The sequence below is a fragment of the Homo sapiens genome, chromosome 3 (assembly GCF_000001405.40).
Source record: "Homo sapiens chromosome 3, GRCh38.p14 Primary Assembly".
Taxonomy (NCBI): domain Eukaryota; kingdom Metazoa; phylum Chordata; class Mammalia; order Primates; family Hominidae; genus Homo; species Homo sapiens.
In genome coordinates, this window is record NC_000003.12 from 170,459,290 (window position 1) to 170,479,191 (window position 19,902).

The 19,902-nt window shown below is 42.3% G+C and overlaps 1 protein-coding gene and 1 long non-coding RNA gene across 4 annotated transcripts in view; one reads left to right on the plus strand and one right to left on the minus strand.

Moving 5' to 3' along the window:
- SLC7A14 (solute carrier family 7 member 14) overlaps positions 259 to 19,902 on the minus strand; it is a 126,528-nt gene continuing 106,884 nt past the window's right edge. Inside the window, exon 8 of the mRNA NM_020949.3 lies at positions 259 to 8,088. Coding sequence (NP_066000.2) covers positions 7,766 to 8,088 — 323 coding nt within the window. The 3' untranslated portion in view covers positions 259 to 7,765. The remainder of the gene's footprint in view (positions 8,089 to 19,902) is intronic.
- Positions 7,996 to 19,902, plus strand: part of SLC7A14-AS1 (SLC7A14 antisense RNA 1) — a 287,921-nt gene continuing 276,014 nt past the window's right edge. For 2 of the 3 annotated variants that reach the window (NR_135556.1, NR_135555.1), the window contains exons 1-2: positions 7,996 to 8,107; positions 17,482 to 17,584. This is a non-coding gene — a long non-coding RNA (SLC7A14 antisense RNA 1). Of the gene's footprint in view, positions 8,114 to 17,481; positions 17,585 to 19,902 lie in introns of all 3 variants that reach the window. The other variant, NR_135557.1, reaches the window with a different exon arrangement.

Here is a 19,902-nt window from a genome sequence, read left to right on the forward strand (position 1 = left end):
AACTGAATGTTCTGTATTAGACATAAGATGGTGCAGAGGGTGTGGGGGGCTGCAGCTTGAGTAGGACTGCACCGGGAGAGGGGTAATTAATGAGGCAGTGTAGTGAGCAGGGTCCCTGAGAGAGCCCTGTACCCTTGTTAGAAGAACGTGAGAGGGAGACAGCGCCAGGTCAGGTTCTTCTGAGAGCCCACTAAAGTGGAACTTTCATGTTCTCCTCATGGAAGTAAAGTAAATTTAAAGGGGTAGGATGGCACTGACTTTCTTCAAATTTAAATTTTATTAGTCGATTAGCTGTACTTTTTAAAATGTTTTATTCTGAAAATGAATTTTCCACAATAATGCAATTCAAAGTGAACTCATTTATCTGGCTTTTCTACAAAGGACAATTGAAACACTTAAGGCGAAATTCACTTATTCATCTCCATTTAAGAATGGAAAAAAAGTAACAGACTTCAGATACTGGTTAAGGTTAACAAAATATGGGAAGGCTCCTTTTTCTTTTCTTTCTTTTTTTTTGGTAGTCTCGTGTAAAAGCTTTACATTACTATGGATATTTTATAGTAAGACACTTTTGTTTCTGACTTTCTTTATAAACCCATTTTTAAATTTAAAGGCACACAATAAAGCTTTATGCATTTATTAAAATATACACATTTTGTTAAATTTAGAATTTTCCCTTAGTATCTTGATAAATCAATATATTGTCAACACCACACATTTGAAAATAAAACACATTTCATAATACATCTGCATATTATTTCTTTCTTCATGATACACTACATTGTACAGCACACCAATGGGAATTAAAAACCACAAAACGAACAAACTTTAACAAATACAGCAATTTCATACCAAAAAAAGATAGCAGAGAACAACACTAGGAATTACCATCTGTAAATGCAAGTTGTACTTCTCAAGGACGAAACGAAAAAGAAACAAGTTAGTAAAATTTACAAGCTGTATTTATAACTTTGGATATTAATTAAACAGTAACGTTTCTTTTCCACAGTGAGAAAAGCTAGAATGTGGAGTCCTGTCATCAGATGATGTGACTACATGGAATGAGGACTATAGCTGCTCTCTTAAAAACCTGCAGCCCCCTCTCTCAGCCCAGACAGTTGAGGTATTTATGCACCATCATAACATTAACAGCATCTTTGCTTTGGAAAGTGGGGGTTTATGATTTCTAGGGTAAATCCTCGCCTTTGGGAGTGTGAATGAGACAAGCGTATCAGCAACTGCCAAGACCAATCAATAGATGTGCATGGAACATTCTCTTCATCCCCAAATCAGAATGAACACAGTCCTTTAAAGTCTGCACTGCAGGTGAAATTCACATGACTCACAATTCCCTTTAGCCAATGTTACCGAAGTCAGTGTCAAGAAAACTTAACAGAAAAAAAAAAAAGCACAGAGTGAGTTCCTACCATAAAAATCCAGGCTGCCCCTGTTTCCTAGCTCTAATATAAGCCATTTTCTTTCCTTATGTGTACCAACATGTACTAAATGTCCCAAAGAGTAAGAAATTAGAACTACCTGTTGTCCGAAGACCTTAAGCCCAAAGCTATCTGTGAAAGTCCTATAGGGATTTTGTAATTCTGTGTGTGCAGAACACAGTTAAATTATTATTATTATTATTTTTGAGACGGAGTTTTGCTCTTATTGCCCAGGCTGGAGTGCAATGGTGTGATCTCGACTCACTGCAACCTCTGCCTCCCGGGTTCAAGCGATTCTCCTGCCTCAGCCTCCCTAATAGCTGGGATTACAGGCATGCAACACCACACCTGGCTAATTTTGTATTTTTAGTAGAGATGGGGTTTCTCCATGTTGGTCAGGCTGGTCTTGAACTCCTGGCCTCAGGTGATCCACCCGCCTCGGCCTCCCAAAGTGCTGGGATTACAGGCATGAGCCACTGCGCCCGGCCCAGTTTAATGATTTTGTACACTGTTTTAGTTGATACTGCAGAACACATATTCACCTTTGATGGGCTACAAAACTTCCACTCACCCCTTGTGGGTTCTAAGTCCTAAAAAAAAGAACACTCTATTTTCTTAGAGAAGTAATTTTGGCAAAAGGCGACTGCCTAGCTGTTTCAGAATGATTTCAGAATGATGCCTGCATTACTCAAGCAGGACAAGAAGAGGAAAGCATTTTAAAAAGGAAGTTGCTCTTAAGGAGAAAAAAAAATTAAAACAGCCTTTCTTCTAAAACTCTTAGAGAAAATAAAAGTAGGACATAGGACCAACCATTATGTACATGAAAGGGGCTTTTTGCTACCCATCCCCATTCCCAGCGAGAAATACTAAGTAAACTCCTTGGTGAAACTTCAGCTTTCTGGTTCCTGCGTGTGGTGGGGCCTGCGGTTTGGGATGCTGTTTCTGCACTTGCTCACTGTTGAATTTCAAATACTCTTTCGTGGCCAGGCCACCACTGGTTACCTGCTGGTGCCTCTCTCTCTTAGGATCTCCAGAGGTCTTTGCAGACACGTGGGTCCTCAGTTTCAGGGAGCTACACAGGTACAGGGGAAGCAGAGGCTCCATGAAGACTTTGGATAGAAACATCTTCCTTGACACGTCTTGTTCCAAACAGCATGAAAATGGAGCGCTGGCACACAGCCCTCGTGGCGACTTCTGGATGTGTTTCCTTTGCTCTCCTCTCTTTCCCTCCATTGGAAGTTAGGGACACCTCTGCACTACTCACTGACCTGAGGTTTATACTCCAATAGTGGACCCCTACCCGCTGCGTAGACTCCGTAAGCAGACCCCCGCTCTGGCTTCAGACACATTTCCTGAGTTCTGACTTTTCCACACAATAAGACATTCTAATCTGAGATTCATAATTAGGTAAACCTGTGTTTGGCCCTCCGCGGACTTTCCTCTGACATCTTGGGCCCCTGGTAAAACCTAGTGCGAAAGGGGACGGCAATTTTCTCCAGTCTTCTATGTGGATTTTCAACCTGATGTAGCTTCTGTTTATGTTGCAGATAAGAGGTGGTTTCTTGTAAGGTAGACTTCCAACAAATGTTGGATGTCTAACAAATGTTGGATTTGTCTTCCAATAAAAGAAAGGATGTCAGGTTTACCAACCCTTTTCAGCAGAATAGAGGAGAGAGATTTCTTTGAAGGAGTTTGTGTTTTGTTTTTCAATAATTACTAGATTTATATTCTGGCTGACCTATAGATTCTGAAGAAGGATGGATTGTTAAATTCAACAACTCCCTTCCGCCCGCCATTTATTTAAACAGATTTATCATGACCATTATGTAGGCATTTGATTAGCTACTAGTTTGTTACTAAGAAGTAGAACTGGCACACGCCTATAATCCCAGCTGCTTGGGAGGCTGAGGCAGGAGAATAGCTTGAACCCGGGAGGTGAAGGTTGCAGTGAGCCAAGATCATGCCACTGCACTCCAGCCTGGGTGACAGAATGAGACTCTGTCTAAAAAAAAAAAAGTAGCACTCAAGCTCAGTAAAACCTGGAGCTGAGATTTTACTGTTTAGATTAGATAGATATAAAAAGTTGTTAGGTTTAGTTGTTGAAACCTATTGTTGAAAACTTTAAAGTGGCTGTTAAATTGTGTTGCTTGTCCACGTATTAAATGGCTGTATTTTCTTAGGTTAATGATGAATGCAGACACAGGACTCAAAGTACAGCTATTTTTCTCTTTAATTTGTTAAATCAATTTGGAGTGTATATGTGGCTTGTTAGTTCCTTGCATAGGTAAGGAAGCCACCGTCTCAGCTTTCTTAAAGTTCAGCCTTCCTGGATTCACACTTTCGTCAGTTCCCCAATTATTTCCCACTCTCTCACCCGAGGAAAGCCAGTCAGCTCAGTGTGACATTCAAGTCTCTCTGTGAGTGATCCCTCACCTGCCTTCCTAGCATTATTTCTTATTGTTGCATGTATAAGTCATGCATAAATCATGTGCTCCAGGCAAACTAGCTCCTTGCTTTCTCTTAATGGAGGCACAGCACAAATTCTTAGCCAGAGGACCACAAACTAGTAGACCTTATTCATGCCGATCCTTTGCTTGGCATGCCTTTCTCTCATTTCTACTTGATAAAATTCTACCCACTTCACAAGTTCCAACACAAGTGTGACATTCTTTATGACCTTTCCAGAGGAAGAAGGCCTTCTTCATATTTGACCCCCCACAGCACATTACAAGTCCGTCATCTCACCTGACACATTCACTATTGTTCTTTATTTATATATCCCATTTCCCCTATTTGATTTTCCTTTTTAAGAGACAGGGTATTCTTCTGTTACCCAGGCTGGAGTACAGTGGTGTGATCATAGCTCACTGCAGCCTTGAACTCCTGGGCTCAAGTGATCCTCCTCCCTCAGTCTCTCAACTATCTGGGATCATAGGCACATGCCACCACACCAAGCTCTATTTCCTCTACTTCTTAAGAGCTGGATTTTTATCTGACTTACGATATCAATATCTGCCATAGTACATAATAGGCACTCCACAAGTAATTGTTGAATAAATATTTCATTTTCCTCCAATTCATTCATTCTGTCAATCATCAGGTATTTCTTGAATACACACTATATGCCAGGCACATGTAGCTAGCAAAATCTAGGTTTGAAGCTTACCTGTGGATTTTAATGATCTATGCTATTTCAAACCTCTACCTGCATGGGGAAAGATTTGTTCTTATCATGCAGAAGTACTTCTTCTTGTCATTACCACTAATTCTATTATTTTTCATGGTGTCACTCATTGGCAAATTTAGTAAAGCATGTCAGGGTTCTGCATTTATGTACTAAATATACGTCTAGTTTTGTCTTATCCTTTCTGTTTCTATTTTTGTTTGCTCTGAGTTCCTCACTTAATTTTTGTTTTGTATTATATATATTTTAGTAGCTGCCTCAAATCCTTTTGAAATGAAGCAGAGTACCAATAAATAAGTAGAATAAAATCTGAAGAAAATCAAGTAATTGGCTCCAAACCACAAATCCACACAATGAAATCTCACTCGGAGAGCTTTTGCTATTCAGAATTCAATAAAATGTAGGTCTTCCTTGGACTCCCTTCAAGGGGCAAAGTTTCTAAGATAATTATAAGGTGATCTTACTTTTAATGTGATCCCACACATACATCGTTTAGAAACCTGTTAAGAAAATAGTAATATTGTCATTGTAGTGATTGATGGTATTTGAAAACTGCATTGTAAAATCTGGGACTGTTCACAGAAGCAGGTAAACCTGAGGACAAACATGTCTATGTACCTGAAAATACTTTTTCTATCTTAGTGATTTTTTTTTTAAAACTAAGGTTGCTAGGGAGGTGATTTATCAACTTTAGAAAAATAAAGGGAGCTAAGCTTAAAATATACTAATATACTATGTGGGAAAAATGGCTCCTGAAATGAGAGTGCTTAATAGAATCTGCATGAAGTCAACAGCAATGGTGTTAACCAAAGCATACATTTTCCATTCCCATCCTATAGAAATTGCATTCATCTGCCACCAGGCTATTGTTACTTTAATACTTAAACCTCACTAGTAAAAGGAAGCTCTTTCACCCACGTTAAGATTTTGCCATTTTGCACTCCTATTTCTCTATTCTCATGCTTAATGAATACAACCCCTCCTCATCTATCTAGATATGTATCAAGCTTAACAGATTCTATTTACACCAGGCAGATTTGTTGAGTCCTATAGCCAATTCAAAACTTTGTTTTCAAAAGATGACTGATAATTAGTTTATAATTAATTCCTAATGCTGTATTTCACAGAGTAGGCACTGTATCTTTATGGTTAACTCTAGGGAAGAGAAAACATAGCATTGTCAAGCATGATATTAAAATGACAAAATGACCTCAGGAAACCAGAGTTCTAAACAATGACTACAGAAGAATAAAAAATATCTAGAAAATTGCAGTTATTTTAGTTTAATGGTATACATTGGCTATGATTACGATATGTAATTTATTTAAAGCATATTTTTTAAAAACTAGTTTCAATTCATCTTTATATGTATGTTAAAACCCAGTGCATCAGCCTGGAGACTTGTCAAGTTTGTTGTTTTATCTGCATTTACCAGGCTCCAGTGCTGCTCATCCATGGACTGTAGCCCCCAAGGGCAAGTGCCATGCTTCTATTCATTCCTGTCACTTAGCATTGGGTCTATTCTCAACCAGTGTTAGTTGAATGAAAAAATGGACTTTTACCTCCTTGCCATAATCCTAAAGCATGCCAAGATGGCATGAGCCTCAGCCTTTCAGAAAGAACAGACTTGAGTGCTAGCGAATATGTTCTGGAAAACGTTTGGCATACTGATACATCCAGGAGAGAAAGGACAAGGAATTTCTTCTTTTGTCCCTCTTTCAGGAAATCCTCACAGAGATTTTATTAATAGCTTGATTAATTTTAATAGCTTGGTTAATTCTATGATAGCTTGATTCAAATTGTGCCTTCACATACATTTGTACGTATCTCAGTGCAGCCACAGGAATTCTTGTAACCCAAGAGTAGAATTTATATTGTAGCCCATGTGTGTTTTTTTCCTTTGCAAATTCTCTCATCTATTCTATTTCTGAGAAAATTCTTTTAATAGCCCCTTTTATGGCCCAAATTTACATCTTACCAGGTAGATATTTCTCTGGGCTTCAGTGAAACTACTCTGGGAAATAACAGGAAAAAAAAATACACCTCTGAAAGTGAGCTAGCCCCAAGGAATAAGGTTCAGAAGTGAAATGTGATCTCATGGAATGCAACTACCTAAGTCGCTATACTTCAGCCTATTTTGTTTTCAGAGTAGCACACACCAATCAAGTGGTTGCCTATCTCAAAAACTTTAGAATTTATAATTTTAGAAATATGAAAGAGAATTTGCAATGTGATCTCAGTGGCTGGCTCACTTCTCCTTGTAAAAATTTTTATCTGATTATAAAACAAACAACCTACTTTTTCAAGGCATATCAGTGCCATGAAATCATGCTCCACCTTTGCCCGCTTTCATCATATCACCAGGAGCTGCAGTCTGATATAAGAGAGGCCATGACAGAGAGTTAATTTCTGCCAATGCCCTTCTGGCTTTTACCGCAAGATATGGTTATTTAATTTTCTTCTGGGCATTTACATAGAGCTTTGATGGTGCTTCTTACCATATCACTGGGTCTGCCTGACTGCTTTATGGTGAATCTGAAACCATTGGGAAAATGGTCCAGAGTCCCTGAACTTTGCTGGATCCTAAAATTATAGTTTGGAAGCTGTGAGAATGTTGGTGAATAAAAAGAAGCATGTGTCTTTTCCATGAATTAATTTTGGGTGAGATTGCAGGATAAAATGATGCTTGCTCAGGAAGTGCCAATGCCCATCTACCCACCCTGACCTCGGGGAGCAGCACTCAGCCTGACATGCCAAGAACAGAGCTTTGTCCCCATGTCTCAGGTGACTGAAATTCTGCCTTCTGCCCAGAGCCCCTGCTTGGGCTTCAACCAGCAAAGCAAAGGCCTAGGAAACATTTGGTACCATCAGCTCTGGTGGTTGCACCTAAGATGGAATTTCATATAGCCTCTTGTTTATTTATTTATTTTATTTAACAAGGCGACCAGTTAGGGGACCCAGGTTAAGCCCTTCAACAGAACTATCCTGAAGAGCAAAAGTAGCAAATGACAGGCTATGACTAGGGATTGAATTTGGGGAAGGCTGGATTTGTGAAATGAGAGCCAAAAAAGTTTTCACCTTCTAGCCCACAGGTTAAGTTACTGAAAATCAGTCATCACCATTTCTACCCACTTGTGTGTTTCTCCTACTCTGGAGAGTAATCTAACTCATCATTTGCAATCAGGGCCTCTGAGTTCTGTTTGTGTTTGCTTTTGCTCTTCGCTTTGCTACTTGTCCGGCCGTTTGCCTTCGCATCTGACATCTGTTGGTAATAGAAGCCTTTGTCTTCAGTGGGCCCGCCCCAGTCCTCCTGGCTCTCGCCCTCTGTGGCGTAGGAGAAACCCTCCTCCACTGAGAAGGGGTCATCCACGTCGTAGCGTTGGTACGTGCTTTGGTGCAGGGCCTCTTCTCGAGCGCTGATTTCCAGGGTGCTGTTCCAGATGCCATATCCAAAATAAATGAGCAGACCTGTGGGGCGAGGGGAAAGGTACAGGTGAATAAGCAATTGCTTTGGGATCCTGGGACTAGCAGAGAGATCACCTTCAGTGATGAAATCAAAGCTGGCGGGGTGGGGGGCGGTGGGGGCGGGGATGTATTTTCTTTGCTTTATGTGGTGTTTTGAAAATACTTGAATTAGATGCCTTTTAAAAATTGGGAGATCTTGCGTTAAGTAACCCATATTTACAGATTTTCCTAGAAAAGTCAAAAGGTCTGACAACACTGCATCCACATTTCTACATGGTGATTTTTGGCTGGTGTTGAGAACTGGCTGCCTCTTTAGACAGGATACAGGGTCTCTAGGTTACCTCAGTCCCCACCTCCCATGCTGACGTCGGGCTCATTACACTCATATAGCTGCCAGCCAGGAATTTGCATTTTCTACCCTGGGTGAACTATTTATGGATCAGCAACAGTTTATTCCCAACGTTCTTATAAGATTTGATTATTCTCTGCCTCCAGTTAGGGACTCTATCTCATGTTTCACCTCTTAGCAGCATGCATATATTATCCTGTGATTTACCTTGACATTTTACACTCACTAAAGGCGTGATATATCATGGCCACTCCAAGCTGCCTGCTTTCTTCTGTGTGCTCTCAGAGTGTCTAGTGCATGCTACTATTATGTCCCTTAGAACATCTGTTGTGTGATTATCTGCACAGGGTCGTAGACTCTGCAGAAAATTGGCACTTAATGTTTGTTGAATGAATGGGTGAGAACTCCTGATAAGCGTGAAATGTCCAGTGCAACCTCTGTGTTGATGTCATCCCAATCAAAGGAAAGAAACTTGCCCCCCTCGTTAATATGTAGCATTCATATATGCTAATGTTTCATTTCTATGATTTAAAAAACATGCATAAAAGTCATTTATGAGTACCCATTTTCTTTTTCTTTTCTTTTTTTTTTTGAGACAGGGTCTCACTCTGTTGTCCAGGCTGGAGTGCAGTGGCATGATCTCGGCTCACTGCAGTCTCTGCCTCATGGGCTCAAGCGATTCTCCTGCCTTGGCCTCTCGAGTAGTTGGGACCACAGGCATGTGCCACCACGCCCAGCTAATTTTTGTATTTTTGAGAGATGGAGTTTCACCATGTTGCCCAGGCTGGTCTCAAATTCTTGGACTCAAGTGATCCGCCTGCTTCCACTTCCCAATGTGTTGGGATTACAGGCATGAGCCATCAGTCCTGGCCTGAGTCCCCATTTTCTATCTTGAATAGACTGTGAAGGTTCAGGGCCTGGAAGTCTGGGAACCATAACCTTGGAGTCCATAGAACATGATAAGTAAGACTGTGGGCTCTGTGTTCAAATCCTGCCTTCATCACTGTTAGCTGTGTAACCCTGGTCCCATTACTTAGCCTCTCTGTTCCTCAGCATTCTCTGTAAAACGATGAGAGCTATAGCAACCCTCTTAACATGGGAGTGCTTGAGGATGAAATGAGGTAAGTGGTGGTTCTCAACCCTGGCTGCACTTGAAAGTCACCTGGGGGTGTTTTTTGAACCACTCTGATACCCTAGCCCCATCCTGGAGATTCTGATTTAATTAGTCTGCAGTATAACCCAAGCATAGGTATGTTTTTAAAACTCCACAGGTGATTCCAATGGTCAGAGTGTCCCTGAGATAATGAACTGTGCCTGATGGGCACAGTGTTCCACTGCCCACTCAGCCCACACTATGGCCTAGGCACTGGGGTCCATACAGTATGCAACCTCCTTCCCGGGCCCTAACATCCTCCTCTGAGTAGCACCAGTCTCTTTGACTTTGCTAACCCTGCAGGCTTCTGCTGGGCTGGTTTGCTTAGAACCGCAAGTCAAGCCTGCTTTGCTGCTGTGGTGCTTGAGAAATCTTGCTCTCTTTTGAATTTGAAGTGTGCCTTTTTAAGCTTGGATTTCTCCCTCCTTGTCTCAAATGACTTTGTCCCCCCTCCCTCCCACACTCCCCAGTGAAATCAACTTTCCAGGAGCCAAAGTAAGCACAGATTTATAGTCCTAATTGGTAATAAATCCTAGAGTTAATTATTTGCAGATGTAGCTATTAGTGCTCAAATAATGATTCATCTTTTAAAAGCAGGGTATTTACTCTTTCTTTTCTGTAGGTGGGGGGTGGCTATGGGGGATGGTTATTATCCTTGTGTAGAACAGGGCATCACATTAAGGCCTCTTCTAAGAGTGCCAGTGTGCTGGTTCTTGGAGAATGCCTCTGTCTGAAGCATGTTTGGCATCTGAGAATGGATTTCAGGCGACCAGGCAGGACCTGTGCACACCTCCTTTTGCACTGCTTTGCTTTTTTGCCATCTTTTCTTCTAGACACCCAGGCAGATGCCAAATATTGCCTCCTACTCCTGCTTGGTACCTATTATGCCAATTCTTTCCTTTCTGATGCCCTTCTCTGACTTTGCTTATAGACGACTCATTTCCCTACTGAACTTAATACCATCTTTTTCTTTTCCCTTTGCCCCAAACGTCTCTCCTCTGCCACCACAAAGGTCATTGTTCAGTCACTGGTTTGACATCACTCATCACTGGTTTGTCGATTCCAACAGACCTGTCCCTGCCCCCACAAGGTATTTTGGGTGTCAGATAGATTCATATTATGGGAATTCTCTAAAAACCTTGAGTCATAGATATTTAGAGCTGGAAAAGATGCTATAGATCACCTATGCATTCTAAAACCTTCATTTTACAGAAGAAGAAACAGAGGCTGGGAAAGAATAAGTGACTTGCCTGGGTCTGAGAAGGAGAGGAACCAGCTTTATACATGGAGGGAGAGAAGTCTCTTGCGTGTCTAGTCCTTCACACCTCCTCTCCCCTCCCCCAGGCTGGTTTACAGACTATGCCCACTGCAGTAAACATGTGATAAGAGGTTTACATGTGTTCTTTGGGAGTGGCCAGGCCTGGAAGGAACATGTGTGTGTGTGTGTGTGTGTGTGTGTGTGTATGTGTGTGTGTCTGTGTCTGCGCGCTCTCACATATTGACTGTGGTTACTTTTTACTTTGTGAAGACAATCCATGGAAACTTGCCACATAAATATTTATGGGTCTTTTCATGTTTGCCCTGAACCCCCTGGAGTTTCAAAGGTGTATCACTCTGTCTTCAAAAATGCATTTCAAATGTGAGTACTGTGAAACAAGAAACGACCGTGTGCATGCAGCCTGGTAGAGTAAATAGTAGATGCAAAGCCGTTCCCCTAGGGCTTGGCATTCTGTGTGTCTATCTTTCTTGCTGGCCCTTGAGTCAATTCAGGAAAAGTGGTGTGAAACTGAGAAGGATTGGAGAAAAGAAAAATGGAGGGGGACAAAGAAACAGAGAGGAACAGATGAAGGGAGGGAGGGAGGGAGAGAGAGAGAAGAGAAGAGAAACGTATTACCATCTGTCCCACATAAACAAGGGCTTTGTGTCGGAGGAGTAAACAGAGCTGCTCCACGCCTCCTGTGTGGAAGCAGGGTGTTTTGTTTCTGCTCCTTTTTTTAGTTGGCTTAGAGAATGAAGCATGAGGTAGTTTCTGAAAAATCTGTAGGGGTTCTGGGAATCCTGAATCATCTAAACTAAACTTCACAAAGCATTTCTGTGTGCTGGGTTAGGATAATGATGGATGGTTGATGTTGCACCTTTGTCCCAAAGAGCTCAAAATGTTACACAAACAGTATCTTGTTTTGTTTAGACTCCCTTTAACCTGTCTGGGAAGGGGTGTGTGTGTGTGTGTGTGTGTGTGTGTGTGAGTGATTATGTGCATTGCACACTTCACAGACAGGACAACAGGACAGTGGGCACAGAAAACATAAGGGAAGGTCCACAGCCACACAGTGAGCAGGTGGACAGTGAATCCTTCCAGGTCTCCCCATGCCCTAATCCAGGGCGCTTCTATCCCTCTTACATCTCCCGCCTACCAGGGATGGAAAACAATTTGGCTTAACGTTTTATTTGGAAGAACATATACAAAAGTGGAGTGAATAGGATCATGAATCACCAGCTCCCTTCATGCTCCCTCCCCTGACCCCTTCTCTACAGATTGTTTTGAAACAAATCCCTTCTATCATAGGTTTAATTTGTAAATATTTGAGTATGCATCTCTAAAAAAAGCAGTATCATCACAACTAAAAATTAATAATAATTTCTTAATATTATCTGATATCCAGCAGTATTAAAATTTATCTAAATTATTACATGTGTGTGGAAAACTCTTCACCTTATGAGGCTACACACGTATTCCTATGATGCCATCATTGCTTGAAGTAGTTTTTGGGCACCGCTAATCAAGATGGTCACTGGGAACGGCATCATATACTTTTGTAAACTCTTGCGGAGGGCAATCTAATATCTTTTGAGGGTGGATTTGATTTTGCTATAAGCCAGAAGTCATTTGAAACCAAGCCTCAAGAATAAGATGGCTGATTCACAAATAATACTATTTATTCTATTTGGATATTTAATTCTGCTGTACCTTAAAAGCAGATAACTTAGAGCCATTGCTTTGTAGTTACATAACTTATGTCAGTAAGAAACTAAAGGCAGGTGTGATGGCAAAAATCAGAGGGTGTCAGCCTTTGTGCTGCAGCAGTGTCCTGGAGGCTCCTCTGTGGGGCTGGAATTATTTTTTTTGAGTTGATGGGTCATGGTGGGGGTGCGTGGTGTGTGCAGGAAAGTGACTAGTTAGCAGTAAACACAGAAGTGTTTCAATATTCTGGCTGGGCACGGTGGCTCATGCCTGTAATCCCAGCACTTTGGGAGGCCGAGACAGGTGGATCACCTGAGGTCAGGAGTTCGAGTCCAGCCTGGCCAACATGGTGAAACCCCGTCTACTAAAAAAAAAAAAATAATTAGCTGGGCACGGTGGCGGGCACTGGTAATCCAGCTACATGGGAGGCTGAGGCAGGAGAACTGCTTGAACCCAGGAGGTGGAGGTTGCAGTGAGCTGAGATCACGCCATTGCACTCCAGCCTGGGCGACAGAGTGAGACTCCATCTCAAAAAAAAAAAAGTTTCAATATTTTAACACAGACATGGTTGGACTGGGGCACGTGGGCTGCATGCCTGTCCTGGTCAAAGGTAATGGTGGTTAGTCTTATGAAAGTCTGTTTAAAGGCCGGGCACGGTGGCTCACGCCTGTAATCCCAGCACTTTGGGAGGCGGAGGTGGGTGGATCACGAGGTCAGGAGATCGAGACCATCCTCGCTAACACGGTGAAACCCCGTCTCTACTAAAAAATACAAAAAAATTAGCCGGGCATGGCGGTGGGCACCTGTAGTCCCAGCTACTCCGGAGGCTGAGGCAGGAGAATGGCGTGAACCTGGGAGGCAGAGCTTGCATTGAGCTGAGATTGTGCCACTGCACTCCAGCCTGGGTGACAGAGTGAAGACTCCGTCTCAAAAAAAAAAAAAAAGAAAGTCTGTTTGCAGTGACGGGAAATATTCAAAGGGAGGCTTTGGCTTCTTTTCTAGACAGAAGTTCCCCAGTGGAAAATGTGTCTATGAGAAGTTCAGGCTAGACAAGATCAAGAATCATGCCTTTAGCAATTGAATGGGCTTTCTTTATGATATTAAATACTTTGTGGTTGTAATGCACTTTATATATTAAAAAAAGCACTTTCTCATCCATCATCCCAGGGAAGTTAAGAACTGTGTGATAAATCAGTAATTGAAATAGCATTGGGACTCATATCTCTTAACTCTAACCTGAGGGCTGTTCCTGTCCCACCCAGGTGCCTCCAGGGAAGGTTTACAAAAGCTAAGCTTGCGTTCATATACTAGGGTACCTTGGCATCAGCAGGTGACATACCTGCTCACCCCCCTGTGTTTATCCATCCTGTGAAAATTAAGCAAATGACCCCAAACCTACAAGAAAGAGAGGTGGGAAAGGGAGGTCTTGATCATACAGGAGAAATCCTAGAACAAAAACTCAACTCTGAAGAGACTGAGTAATGCAAACAATAACAGCATATTTCCAACTCTGAGGGCACACACTTAGGTTGCAGACCAGGTCCCCTATCTCCAGAGTTCCTGGGAACTCCCTGTCCTCTCCATGAAGCTCCATACTTAGAACCGAGAGAGGTGGGCCACCTGACCTCAGGCTGGGTGGAGCTGCCTCTTGCTGGGGTGCACTTTCCAGCAGGAAGCTCTGCCCACTGCAGATAGCTGAGGCACTTTGTTATGCCTAGAGGGCTTTTATTTTGACTACTCTGGGATCAACTTTCCAAAACAGACATTTGCCGAAGCAGAAAGGGAGACTGGGTGGTAATGAGAAGGTATCCTTCCCACCCCCACCTCAACCCCACCAACTCCCACTATTGCTGATTATTTTTTAAAATACCACCACGACTCTGTTGACTATAATAACAACAAGGCTTGTTTAATATGGTATGGCCAGGAAGAGCAGGCTTAGGATGAAGTTGGGCGGAGATTCTCTCCATGACCCTGCAGCTGATCTAATGGGAAGTCATGCTACTTTATGTCTCAGTTTCTCATCTGCAAAACGGGGTTGGGGATGCTTATTTTATTTGCAGTATATAATGGCCATGAGAAGTAATGCAATCTTGTTAAAGAATATGAAAAAACCTGGTAGTCTGAGCCAGCAATTCTAACTCAACAGAAACCCAAGAGATACATGTCCGCGTGTCCACCAAAAACATGTACAAGAATGTTCACAGCAGCTCTGTTTGTAACAGCCCTCAACTAGAAACAACCCAAATGTCCCTGGACACTAGAATGAATAATATATTGTGGTATATTAACACAGTGGGAGACTAGACAGCCACAAGAACAAACAAACTGAAACTACAAGCAACAATGGGCGTGAATCTCACAAACATAATATTGAGGGAAAGAAGGCAAACATCCCCTCTGTTGTGGCTTGAATTCTGTTCCAGGTAAGCTGCGCATGCCAGCTCTGTGCCCTCCACCTCTTCATTCTTTGGGATCACAGGAGAGCCAGTGTCTCAGCTGCCACTGATTGCAAAGCCCTGTGAGTGCTCCGCCCGCTCTGCATCTGGCAGTGCACCTCTGCCAGCAGACAGCCTCACGATTGCATGATCCACCTTCACACTCTACCTTCACCCTCCCTCCTTGGAATCCCACCAGCCCTGTTGCCAACCTCATCCTGGCCTTCAGGATTATTCTTGCTCGTCTGAGCACAATTTTGACATTGGAAGAGCCCGTTTTTTTTTCCTCTGCCTCCAAGGAGAATTTCAAGCTTATTTATGGGACATGTCATCAAGAATTTAGTTATCAGGTCCCAATTCATTGCTCTTTCTTTCCCTCTTCTTCTTTTTCTCACCTGGCTGCTTTGGGTCAATTTCCAGTTGGATTTCAGATAATAGCTCAGGTATAGACCATGAGGTGTGTCTTCTCTTTGGGATATTTCTATTTTGAGATAGGATTCATGAGGTCCATTGCCCGTATCACAAGTCCTGTCCTCTAAATCTACAGACAAGAATTTGATTTCCTCAGAAAGACTGAAAAAATTCCTACATGGCAAATCCTATGGTAAGGGCAAGCTATTCTAACAGGTGGTTACATTATAATAAAAACCCGCAGGGAACAGCAGGCCCGAAGGATGCCCTGGAAGATACCATGGTGCAGCATTCTCACTGAGCCCCTGCTAGTTCCATGTTCCCTGAGACTCTGCCCAACCCCTTGAGAGGTTCTTTCACAAAACTGCATCAACTAAAAGGAAAATGAAGGCTGCTTTGTGCTCACTTTACTGGGATTAATACACATTTGGTGTTTGTATTCCTTTTCTTGTCTGAAGGAAAAGAAACATGTGCTGGATAATCTTGTTGGGGCTTGTGCCTCGTTTTACTCTCTGAGTTGTGTTCTTCTGAAGGTCAAAAGCTTAGCAAAACATTGTTACAAAAATGCCGCAATTAAGATTTATTTAGAAAAGCTTGGATAAAAAAATGTGTCTTAAGAAGTTTATCAAGTTATGACTCAGCCTAATCATGTAAATCTTCAGTTTCATAAGCAGCTCCATTTAAAAATATCTCTACTGTTTTCCCCCAGAAAGTTACACTATGTATAGACAGATTAAGAAAAATCTGATATCTTGGAGGCTCAGAAGTTCAGAGGTGACATATTTATCTTATAAGACCATTAAGGATTTTATAGCCAGTTTGGGATTGTGGGTTGGATATATTTTATATATGCAAAAAATAGTTTTTGAAAAACAAGTCTTTGTAATTAAATTGTCTGCCCTGCTTGATAAAACTATGCTCCCCTTAGAGCAGTGGCACGCATTTGAGTCAGCTGGAGGGCTTGTTAAACCCTAAATTGCTCTCAGAGATTCTGATTCAGTAGACCTGGGGTGGAGTTCAAAAATCACATTTCTTTTTTTTTTGAGACAGAGTCTTGCTCTGTTGCCCAGGCTGGAGTGCAGTGGCATAATCTTGGCTCACTGTAACCTCCGCCTCCAGGGTTCAAGAGATTCTCCTGCCTCAGTCTCCCGAGTAGCTGGGATTACAGGTGCCCGCCACCACGCCTGGCTAATTTTTGTATTTTTAGTAGAGACGGAGTTTCACCATGTTGGCCAGGCTGGTCTCGAATTCCTGACCTCAGGTGATCTGCCCACCTTGGCCTCCCAAAGTGCTGGGATTACAGGCATGAGCCACCACGCCCAGCCTCAAAATCACATTTCTAACTAGTTCCCCGATGACATTGATGCTGCTGGTCTGGGGTCACACATTGAGGACCATTGATCTAGATCATTGTCAACTTGGCTGCCTATTAAAATTACCTGGGAACTTAAAAAATATTCCTCAATACTCGGCCACCAGACCAATTGAATCAGAAAATCTCTGTTGTGGAAGCCTGGGCTTAGAATGTTTCAGAAGCAACCCAGGGTGATACTGATGTGTAGCTAGGGTTGAGAATCTTTGTTCTGGGTGAAACTTAGTCATATAGCAGCCTTCAAAAATCATGATACTAAAGCAGTTAGCAGCAGGTGCCCAGAAATACTAGCAGTCCTTCCCAAATGTGATTTGCGGGCTGTGCATCAGAATCACCGGGTGCTTGTTGAACTGCAGACTTCTGTGCCCTCTGGCTGGCCAGCCCCACTCTGCAGGGTGGCATTCTTTTGAGTCAGCGAGTAGCAGTTTCTGGAGGGAGTTTGGAGTTTGTGCTATCAGCAAGATTACAAAAGGCGCTCAGGGAGTTTTCCTCTGCCTGATAGCTGGAAGGGCAGCCTGAGTCGCTGCAGGTTCACATCGTGCTTTGGCATATGATAGCCAGTCTGTCCATACTTGTGGACAATGAATCATTTCAGATTTTTAAAAGAAAGGCAGGAAATACATGTTTCTTGTTGCTTTTCTCAACATTTTCTCATTTAAGCCCCAAAGAATAACCAGGTCAAGGCTGATAAAATTATCTGCATTTTTACAGATAAGTAAACTGAGGCCCAAAGAAGTTAAGTAAATTTCCCAAAGTCACAAGACAAAGGAGGGGCAGAGCTGTGATTTGAAGTTGGTGCTGTTTGACTCCAAAGGTAAGGGCCCCTGCCACCTGACTGTTTTTGCAAAATGCCTCTGGTGCTTCAGGAGCCATAAATATTCTGCAGAACTGGCTATAGAGTTTTCAATGTAAAATGAAAACATGGGTCCTCTCGTTCAGAAATTATTAAGAATTCAAGATGGCAGCAGCAGAGCATTAAACCAAGCATGGGACCCTGTGCACAGCTGTGTGCCCATGAGGCCAGCCCTGATGCTATGTGTTAGGCTCTATCGAACGTTCTAATGAAATGAGTCTGCTCAGAGGCACCCTGGTGGGGTAGTAGGAGCCCCAGATTTGAGCATGGGTATACTGAGTTTTAGTAATAGCTCTTTGAATAACTTCCTGTTGACTTTGAGCATGTTATTTAACTTCTTGGAGGTTCAGTTTAGTCATCCATTAAATGGAGAGAGGGAGAAGTGGGAAGGTGGTGGACTACATCTGTATTTCTCCAATTCCAGTTAGTTATATACCACATTTTTAGTATATAACCATTTAGGCTATAACCATGGCCTCTGGCCCCACACTCCCTGAGTTCTAATCTTGGCTCTGCTATATTCTAGCTATGTGACCTCAGGCAAGTGCCTCAGTTTCCTCATCTGTAAAATAGAGATTGCTGTGAGGATTACATAAATAAGTAAGTGAAGCCCTCAGAATAATGGCTGATATGTGATAAGCACGGTACAAGTGCTCATTATTACTATTCCTATGAATCATACGGTATCTGTACTAGTAGTACTAATGTTTTTTCTTTAATATGACTCACACTTTAAATTTAAAAAAGTCATCTATAGTCTCTTTCCAAGTAATAGTATTTGTGAAATCACCAGATTCATGTGTATGTGTGGTTTTTCTAACCCAGGTGAAAATGTACAATAACTGTACAATATTTTTAAAAGTTCATTCATATGCTTTCTAATACCAGTTGAAAATATTACCAATGGAATGGGCACCACACTGTGGGTAGCATTGTACTAGACACTGAAGGCCCTTTTCAGCTTTAATAGTCTATGAATAAATAAGTCTATGTATATTTGTGTCTGTGTCTTGAATAATTTGACAAATACATGACTGAAATATTTCTACCCACTTCCATCACTTCTATCCAGAGTAGAATCTGCATTGGCTAGCTACATGTTCCAGTGGAAAAATGTTTAGAGATAAGAGATTGTATTTTTTTAAAAAGTTTTAAAATATTAATTTTTTTAAAAAAATTTTTTGAAATGGAGTCTTGCTCTGTCTCCCAGGCTAGAGTGCAGTGGTGTGATCTCAGCTCACTGCAACCTCCATTTCCTGGGTTCAAGCAATTTTCCTGTCTCATCCTCCCAAGTAGCTGGGATTACAGGCACTTGCCACCACGCCTGGCTAATTTTTGCATTTTTTATAGAGATGGGGTTTTGCCATGTAGGCCAGGCTAGTCTCGAACTCCTAAACTCAGGTGATCTGCCCTCCTCGGCCTCCCAAAGTGCTGGGATTATAGACGTGAGCCACTATGCCCAGCCAAGAGATTGTAAATGTGTTATAAAAATTGGTTAAAATCTTGATGAGTCAGTGGGGTCCTCTCAAGAAATCCTCCTGAAGTCTAACCAGGGGGACTTAGAATAGTGAAAAATTGGGACAAAATGCTTACAGGAAGCCATAGAGCAGCCTTCAGAAGCAAGGAGTCAGGCCTCTGGGGAAGACATATGCCCTTTCCATTGGTTGCTACTTTTTCCCCCACTTCTTTCTATCTATATCTTAACTTATAGGGCCACTTTGTATTCTACCCCCTCCAAGTTTTTTCTGGCAATTCTGACTGGAAGTTTTCCTTTTTCCCCTTTGAAGAGTACTTTATAATAATTTAAGAAGTATTTTTGAGCACATACTGCGGGCACCCTGCTCCAGACACGGAGGACACATGTTGAACAAGTGTATTCCTGATCTCTAGGAGTGGATGCACTGCCACTCATCACTAAGAGTCTCTGTGGGCTGGGCACAGTGGCTCATGCCTGTAATCCCAGCACTTTGGGAGGCTGAGGTGGGCAGATCATGAGGTTGAGAGTTCGAGAACAGCCTGGCCAACATGGTGAAACCCTATCTCTACTAAAAACACAAAAATTAGCAGGGCATGGTGGCACTCACCTGTAATATCAGCTACTCAGGAGGCTGAGGCAGGAGAATTGCTTGAACCTGGTTGGCGGAGGTTGCAGTGGGCCATGATCAAGCCACTGCACTCCAGCCTGGGCGACACAGCAAGACTCCATCTCAACAACAACAAACAAAACAAAACAAACAAATAACAACAACAACAACAACAACAAAAAGAGTCTCTTTGGC